The sequence below is a fragment of the Homo sapiens genome, chromosome X, assembly GCF_000001405.40.
Source record: "Homo sapiens chromosome X, GRCh38.p14 Primary Assembly".
In the NCBI taxonomy this organism is placed as follows: Eukaryota; Metazoa; Chordata; class Mammalia; order Primates; family Hominidae; genus Homo; species Homo sapiens.
In genome coordinates this window covers 90,201,403-90,211,206 of record NC_000023.11, presented here as the reverse complement: position 1 = coordinate 90,211,206, position 9,804 = coordinate 90,201,403, and the positions used below count along the sequence as shown (strand labels likewise).

The 9,804-nt window shown below is 36.3% G+C and overlaps 1 pseudogene; it reads left to right on the top strand.

Annotated features, from left to right (window-relative positions):
• RNF19BPX (ring finger protein 19B pseudogene X-linked) lies at positions 973-1,790 on the top strand (annotated as a pseudogene).

Below are 9,804 nucleotides of genomic sequence, written 5' to 3'. Positions count from 1 at the left end.
TGTCATTCATTTCTGTTCTGAGCTATATTATTTTCTTCCTTTAACTAAATTTGCACTTGGTTGGGTCTTCTTTTTCTAGTTTCTTGATGTCTAACATAAGGTGGTTTATTTGGGATCTTTTTTTTTTCTTTGAAGTAGGCATTTATTGTTATAAACTTCCTTCTTAGAACTGCTTTGGCTGAGTCCTGCATATTTTGGTACGTTGTGTTTCCATTTCCACTTGTCTGAATATATTATTTAGTTTCCCTTTTAATTTGTTTTTAGATTCATTGGTTACTTAGAAGAATGTAGTTTAATTTCCACTTATTTGGGAATTTCTGATATTTCTCCTATTATTGATTTCTAGTTTTATACCATTGTCATGGGAAAATATACTTGATACAATTTCAATCTTCTTAAACCTATGAAGACTTGTTTTGAGCCCTCACATATGACCTATCCTGAAGAATGTTCCATGTGTGCTTTAGAAAAATATGTATTCTGCTGCTATCGGATGGAAGGTTTTGTATATGTCTTTTAGGTCCATTTGACCTAAAGTATAGTTCAAGTCCGTTGTTTCCTTATTGATTTCTGTCTGTGATCTGTCCCTTGTTGAAAATGGGGTATTGATATTCCCTGTTATTACTGTATTATAGTCTATCTCTCTCTTCATGTTTATTAATATTTACTTTATATATTTAGGTGTTCCAAAGTTGGAGTGCACATATATTTACAATTGTTATATTCTTTTGATGAGTTGATTCCTTTATCATTACATAATATCATTATTTTTTATTATACAACCAGCTTCACAGCTCTCCCATGGAGCATACTAAATGGTGAGATTCTTTACAGTATCTAGGGAAAATGCAGCAGGATAGAAGTCCAAGTCAATATCCAAAATGAAATTGTTTTCAAAGACACAATCAACCTTGATGGAATCAGTGAGAGCCCAAGCACTCTTGCTATGACTATTTTCATAATCAGGACATGGAATGCAACAATATGGAAATCTGAGTGATGCCAAACCAAGCTACTGTCAGCTGGTGAGTGAAAGAAGCGTAAAGGATTCATTCCACATTCATGCTCAGATGACAGAGAATGAAGAATATAGCAGTAGTGGTGGAGATGGAGGCAGTGAAGAGGACTTTTCTACAAACACCAAAGCTGTGAGCAGAAAGACTATCTGGTCATCAAACTTTCATACATCAGCTTGGCCTAACCCAAGATGATCCACAGTGGTCTGGAGAGTGATGATATGCAGTGAGATGATGTGCTAGACATCACTTCAGATGACTATGACCTCCCTTACTATCATATTGCAGATTTCCCCCTTGACCTCTAGAGCCCAAGGGTGCACTGGGCCCAGGTGTCCATATGAACTTCTCTGCCCCAGCCGAGGGGCAGTCTGTCTTAAAGACAAAAGGTGCCGAAGCCAGAATTTGAAATTGAATAAATGTTCTGAGAAGCACAATTGTTGTGACTGCAACTTTCAAATCTTTTTTTTTTTTTTTTTCGGTGAGATGAGTGAAAATTTATGTATTTTATCTTAAAGATTCTCTGGTTATAGGTTTCCTTCAGAGAAATTCTGAGATATTTGCAATTTCTTACTAGATAAAACATCAAAATTTTGCCCTGATTCCCTCTCCTTTCTCCCCTTCCTATTTTTTTTTTAGTTTTAATTTATTGGTTAAACTAATGGTAGCAATCTTTGAGGTATGTCTAAGAATGTACATAGGTATGTGTGTATATTATGTATGTGGTAACATATTACTGAAGGAAACATTTTAATAAAGATTTCTGCCATATTTTCAAAAACCCTCTGGCTTCAGATTCTGGGGCAAGAAGCTGTAAGAAAATTACTTGGCAGCTGTGCGCATTAATTGGAGCTCCAGTGGGGATATCTTTCATTGCTACCATTGCTATTCCTGAAATGGTCATCAGCATTCCTGTTTATGTTGACAGGAAGATTCACTGCACGGATAAAGGAAAGCAAACCTCCAACACAAGAGAAATTTGGCTATCACAGGAGGAATGACTTTGTCAGTGATTGCATCCTCAGTTATTACTGCAGTTAGTATTGCTTTTGGCATCCCAATTATGCTGGCATATGTCAATGTGACTGGCTAATTTGTCTCTCTCATGGAGGCTGCTGTGGTGTTAGCACAGTTGACCAAAAGGGAAGGAAAATTGAATCAAATGAAGATTATTGTCCAATCACAATGTCAGATGCCTGGCAAGCCCTCAAGGGTCCAAGCACTGGGGAAAGCAGCAATGAAGGCCTGACTAGTGTATTCAGCACCAGTGGAAGCCCTACAGATGGACCCTGGATTAGTCATGTCCCTTACAGTAAATCAGCTCATATTCTTATGTATGAGGTCTATTTTGCTGCTTAAGCTCATCAGATTAATATACCACTTTCAACTTCTACTCCTAAACAGAAATTGCTTCTTAAAAGTACTGTTCTACTTTAGTGATGTACAGTTATCTAACTAACACAAGACATTCAAACAAAATGTGCCTTAAAAAATTTAATAATTTTCCATTATTTTAAAAGAAATGCAACAGTGTGTCCTTAGGCTTTATTAACTTGTGCTTCACGACAGTGTAACCTTATAAAATTTGTTGAAAAAGTAAGGAAATCACTCCTCTACTACCTTTGTTGCTGAAGAAAAGCACTTCTTTCAAAATTAGAGGCTTGCATTGAAGAATAAAAATAGTAAGAAAAAATATATTTGCAATAAAATAAACAAAAATCACTGCAGTGAAGAAATTATTGTGCATGAATATTGCTCTCAAGGGGATTCATCTACACTAATCAGGCTTTTCCACCTCTCACCTATCAGAACTATCCTGCTTTCAGACTATATAAATACCCAAACAGATTTACCCACTTTGCTTTCTTCTCTATTTACTCTCTCTTTTATTTTTGACTCTCGTTTTCTCTACCTTTTGTTATTTTATCTAATAATCAATATTTGTTCCTTTTGCTTTTTTGAAAGAGTGCTGTATAGCTTCAAATTCACAGAAACTTAACTAATCCAAACCATGACTTGATAGTAACTTTGTGAACTTAGACAAGTTGCTTACTTTAATAGATCTAATTTTCATCCTCTTTAAAAGTACAGATAATAGTATCTACTTCGCAAGTTTGTTGTAAAATGTATAAGAGATAATGGATGAACACATGTGGCACAATGCCCTGTACAAAGTTGATGCTTAATAAATATTAATTTAGGTTCTGTGGTAAGCAAAATAATGCCTGCCCTCAAGATGTTCTTGAATGTGTACTACACATTCTTGTAGTCCTGAAATGTGTGAATATGTTACCTTACATAGCAAAACATGATCTCACAAAGTGATTAGGTTAAGAAGTTTGAGATGGGGTATTAGAATATTTCAGTGGGCTAATGTAATCACAAGGGTCCTTAAAAATGGAAAACCCTTCTGGTTGAGGAATGAGAGTTAATACAGGAAGTCAGGAGAGATGAAGCATAAGAAGAATTCTATACACCACTGCAGACTTTGAAGATGAAGGGGTCCATTATTCAAGGAATGTGGGTGGCCTGTATAAGTTGAGAACAACCCCTGGCTGGCAGCTGGCAAGGTACACAGCCTTGCTAGTATCTTGATGTTAGGCTGGTGAGACTGTGTGGTTTTAAGCTGCTAAGTGTATGGTAATTTACTTGAGTAGTCAAAAGAAATTAATAATTTTTTTCTCTTTTCGTACCTCTTTCTTTTTCTTTCATTTTGGTAGTAATTTTATATATATTTTATTTTGTAGACGCTCACCAAAATATGGTTAAGTTTGAAAAATATAAACAATTACTTGTATTAGTATTAAAGGTTTTATTAACATTCATGGCTTTGAGTAATCAAATATAAGAAGTAAATTTTAGAGAAATTCTTAAGCCTTTATAATTTTTGGATATTTCATCAGTTAAACATCATTGCACAACAACTACTTCTACACTCAATAGCCAAAATTAACAATTTATTTAACTCACCTTTCTGTAGATCATGATTTTAAAATGGACTTAGCAGGTGATCCTTTTGGCTTTTTCATGACTCTCTTGTCAGCTGTGCTTCAGCTAGGCATCTGCTCCCACAGAAGTCTTCAGGATGTCGGCTCTGCTATACTGAGTTTCCTTTATATAATCAATCACCCTCCAGCAGGCTAGCCTGGGCTTGTCCTCAGGGTGGCAGAGTTTCAAGATAGAGGGAACAGGGAACGACTGTTGAGTCCTAGGTTTAGAATTTACCCAAGTTCCTTCTATTGCATTCTGTTCTGCAAATAAGTCACAAGGCCAGTTGATATGCAAGGCTCGGGGAGATAGACTACATCCCTTGACAGGGAAAACTGCAAAGTCAAATTTCAAAAGACATGGATAGAGGAATGTATGGGAAATTTTTGCTATCAGTCTACCATATGCAAATATCACGAATTTTGTTATTACATTATTAATGAGAACATATTAATTCCTTAATGTGACAGAACAAATAGATGTGCCTTATTTATTACTGGTGAAAAGTACATTTTATCTATATGTGGATGATATTTGGAACAGTAATCCTAGCAAATATTTGAAATAAATGATAATCTACTGTATATAAGATAGTATTATATGCTCAAATTCTTTATTATAAGTTGTTTATTCAAATTCATATATTTTCTAGTTCAAGTTTCTACGTAAATGTTAAGAAATATCTATGAAGATGTTAAACAATTGTATTTTGTAAGATGATAGAAGTTAATTGTTATTTTTGTTATCCAAAGGAAATTTTAATTCTAGAAAACTAATTTTAGGAGAATCAATAATTAAACATTCTTAATATGTAACCCTGTATTATTCTGTAATTTAAACAAATAGACTATTTAACTATTAAGACAATTTCAATATAATTACCTTTTTAACATTTTCATATGGAAATGTCAAACATATACAAAATTGGGATACTCTTATAGACATCAACATATTTATTCTTCATCCTCAACAATTATCAGTTCCTGGTCAATTTTATTTCTCATATAATGGCCACCCTTTTATTTTGAAGCAAATACCAGACATTATTATCAAATAACCAGCATCGGAAGTTCTGGACAAACATTAAAAAAAAAAAAAAAAGTGAAACTGACTAGATTTAACACGCCAAAAGGTTGAAAACCAAACTACAATGTAAGATTCCATCCATAATTTCCATGGACTTTGAGTAGCACGTTTATGAAGCAGATTTAAATATTACCTCAAGGGCTCTGAAAAAGAAAGTGCCTTTGGAATAACAGCTTACAAAAGTGAACGAAGACCTTTGGTCTAAACTTGAACAGGATAATTGCCTGCCAAAATAGGACATTTAAATAAGATCCAGAATCCCCTAATATAAGATCTCAAATGTCCATACTACAATTAAAAAACATTTATTTTACTTAGAACCAGAGCATTCATAACTTGAATGAGAAACGAATCAACAAATACAATAGTAGTTGATTTTCGGTGTTAAATTGACTGAATTAAAGATTCCCCAAATATCTGGCAAAGCATTAGTTATTCTAAATGCTTCAGGAGGCAGTGAGCACATCCATCTTCTGCTGAAAGGGGAACTCAGATAGTCTGGTTGAATGATCAGGGACTTGGAAGAAATACGAATGGAAAATTGGTGACAAAGAAATTTTGGGAAAAGGTAGACCTTTCCGAGTGGGCAAAGAACTTAAAGGTAATTGTGTCCCATGTAAATGCTCACCAAAAGGTGACCTCAGCAGAGGAAGAACTGAATAATCAAATTGATAGAATGACCTATTCTGTGAAATCCAATCAGCCTTTTTCTTTAACCAACTGCCATTGTCCAATGGGCTTATGAACAAAGTCAGCATGTTAGCTGAGATGGAGGTTATGCCTGGGCCCAACAATATAGAGTTAAAATCATCAGGGCTGACCTGGCTATGGTCATCACCTAGTGTCCAATCTATCTGCAGCAGAGACCAACACTGAGCCCCCAGTGTAGCACCATTGCCCAGAGTATTAAGCCAGCTACCTGGTGGCAGGTTGATTACATTGGACAACTTTCATCATGGAAGAGACAATGTTTTGTCCTTACTGGAATAGACACTTAATTTGGATATAAATTTACCTTCCCTCATTCAATGCTTTGACAAAACTACCACTTGTGGACTTACAGAATGCCTTATCCATCATTATAGTATTCCACACAGCATTGCTTCTTAAAAGTAATTCACTTCACAAAGAAGTGTGGTAATTGACTTATATTCATAAAATGCACTGGATTTACCATGCTCCCCATCATCCTGAAGCAGTTGTCTTGATAAGACTATAAAATGGCCTTTTGAAGGCACAGTTACAGCACCAGATAGGTGGCAATATTTTGCAGGACTGGGCAAGGTCTTCTAGAAGGCTTTACATGTTCTGAATAAAAGTTCACTATATGGTACTATTTCCCCCAATTGCCAGAATTCACAGGTCCAGGAATCAAGGAGTGGAAATAGAATGGCACCACCATCATTCATCCTAGTAACCCACTAGAAAAAAAAATTGTGTATTATTTCTGTGACTTTATGCTCTGCTAGCACAGAGGTCTTTGTTTCAGAGGAAGGAATGCCTCCACCATGGGAGACAACAGTAATTCTACCAAACTGGAAGTTAAAACTGCCACCTGGCCACTTTGGGCTCCTCATGAATCTAAATCAACAGGCTTACAGGGGAGTAATGGTGTTGGCTGTAGTGATTAATTCAAACTACCAAGAATAAGATTGGACTACTACTCCAGAAGAGAAGTAAGGGAGAGTATGTTTGGAAAACAGTAGATCCCTTAGGGCAACTCTTAGTATGTCCTGTGATTAAGGTCAATGGGAAATTACAACAACCCAATTCAAGCAGGACTATGAATGGCTCAGACCCTTCAGAAATAAAGGTTTGAGCTGAGCTTGGTGGCTCATGTCTGTAATCCCAGCACATTGGAAAGCCAAGGCACAAAGATCGTTTGAGGTCAGGAATTTCAGACTAGCCTGGGTAACCTAGCAATACCCCGTTTCTACAAAAATAAAAATGAAAAAAAAAAATTAACCAGGCATGGTTCTGCGTGTCTGTAGTCCCAGCTACTCAAGAGACTGAGGCAGTAGGACTGCTTGAGCCCAGAGTTTAATGCTGCAGTGAGCTATGATCTCACCACTGCACTCTAGCTTGGGTGACAGAGTGAGACCCTGTAGAAAGAAAGAAAAAGAAAGAAAGAAAGAAAGAAAGAAAGAAAGAAAGAAAGAAAGAAAGAAAGAAAGAGAGAAAGAGAGAAAGAGAGTGAGGAAAGGAAAGGGAAGGGAAGGGAAGGAAGAGAAAGAGAGAAAGAGAAAGAGAGGAAAGGAAAGGAAAGGAAAGGAAAAGAAAGGAAAGGAAAGGAAGAAAGAGAAAAAATAGAGAAAAATAGAAAGAAAGTAAGTAAAGTTTCGAGTCAGTTCACCAGAAGGTAAAGAGAAAGAAGGAGGGAAGGAAGGAAGGAAGGAAGGAAGGAAGGAAGGAAGGAAGGAAGGAAGAAGAGAAAAAAATAGAGAAAAATAGAAAGTAAGTAAAGGTTTGGGTCAGTTTCCCAGAAGGTAAAGAGAAAGAAAGAAGAAATGAAGGAAAGAAGGAAAGAAGGAAGGAAGGAAGGAAGGAAGGAAGGAAGGAAGGAAGGAAGGAAAGGAAGAAAGAAAGGAAGGAAGAAGGAAAGAAAGAAAGAAAGAAAGAAAGAAAGAAAGAAAGAAAGAAAGAAAGAAAGGAAGAAAGAGGGAGGGAGGGAAGGAGAGAGGAAAAAAGGAAGAAAATAAGTAAAGGTTTGGATCAGTTCACCAGAAGGTAAAGAATCATGATTAGCTAAGGTGTTTGCTGAAAACAAACAGAATACATAATGGATATTAGAAGGTAGTTATAAATATCAGCAATGACCATATAACCACTTATAGAAACAAGGGCTGTGAGTATTTTCTTCCTATTTTGTTAGGAATACGTATGTTTGTATATATACATATATTAAGAAAATATCCTTGATAGATATATGTTGAGTTCTATCAATATTTAAATATTTCTAATTTTATGTCACAGTATTTAAGTTACAGAATATCTGGAGAAGAATAATCATCACTCAAGGACTTTATCTCCTCTTCTGGGGAATATATTAATGCATTTTTGTTGTATTCAATATAGTTTCATCATGCTAGGTGAAACTACCACCTTGCTATTGCCTTTATTTCAAGATTAAGTATGGTTTAAAGGAGAGGCATATGGTGCCAAGTTGACAAGGGATGAACTTGTGATGATTTATTTTGGGTGTCAACTTGGCTGGATTAAGGGATATTCACTAGCTAACAAAACATCACTTATTCTCAATGCTTCAGTAGGCATTGAGCCCATCCCATTTCTGTTGAAAGAGAATCCAGGTGGTTTGGCATTTAGTTAGAGTGGTTGTGCTGTCCCAGTTGGGTTCATGAGAGTATTTCTGCTGGAGATTGGACATTGATTGGGTGGACTGAGTGGGAAGAATTGCCCACAATGTGGGTGGGCATCATCCAATCAGCTGAGTCCCAGAAGTAACAAAGAGGTAAATTGGAACTTTCTTCCTGAGCTTGGGTGTTTTTCTTCTCATGCTCTTGGACATCAGAACTTCAGGTTCTCCAGCTTTTGGACTCTGGGATTTGTACCAGCCACCTCCCAAACTATCAGCCTCGGAGAGCTGCAACATCAGCTTCCTTGGTTCTAAGGTCTTTGGACTTGAACTGAACCACACTAAAGATTCTTTGGTTCTCCAGCTTGCAGATGGCTTATTGTGGGAATTCTCAGCCTTCATAAACAAGTGAGCCAATTCCTCTAATAAATTCCTTCTCATGTACATCTCTTTACAATAGGACCTACATATCCTTAGGTTCTACACCTACAGACACAGAGTGCTTACTGTTCTATGCTATTTAATATAAGGGACGTGGGTATCTTTGGATTTTAGAACCAATGCCCTGCAGATAGTGATGGACAACTGTATATATGTTCAGTGGGGTGTGTCTCTCTGGAAAACCCTGACTAAAACACATATCAAGCTTGTTATGACTCAGATGGTGAAATTATCTGAAAAGGATTTTAATGCAACCATCAAAACATGCTTCAACAAGCAATATCAAATTCACTTAAAGCAAATGAAAATATTTTAACAATTCAAAAAAGAAATGAAGTTATAATTATAAAAACAATCAAGTGGAAAATATAGAAGAAAAAAATGCAATAATATCAAAAGCAACAACTTACTGGATTGGCTCAATAGTAGAGTGGAGATAACAGAAGATAGAATCAGTAAATTTGGACGGGGTATGTTGTCTCACACTTGTAATCCCAATACTTTGGGAGGCCAAGGCAGGTGGATTATTTGAGCCCAGGGTTTGAGACCAGCCTGGGCAAGATGGCAAAACCCTATCTCCACAAACAATGCAAAAAATTAGCCAGGCATTGTGGCATGCACCTATAGTCCCAGCTACCTAGAAGGCTGAGATAGAATTACTTGAACCTGGGAAGTCGAGGCTACTGTAAGTGGTGATTGTACCACTGCACTCCAGCTTGGGCAACAAAGTAAGACAGAGTCTTACTCAACAGGCTGAGAAAAAAAAATATTCTGTCCCAAAAAAAATCAGTGAATTTTCAGACAATATAATTGACACAATCAATATAATTTACCTTATCTAAACAACAGAGAGGAACTAGACTGGGGGAAAAATAGAGCCTCGGGGATCTATATGACAGTAGCAAATGATCTAACATGCATATATTCTGAATCCTAGAAGAATTTACTGGAAAATTCTAC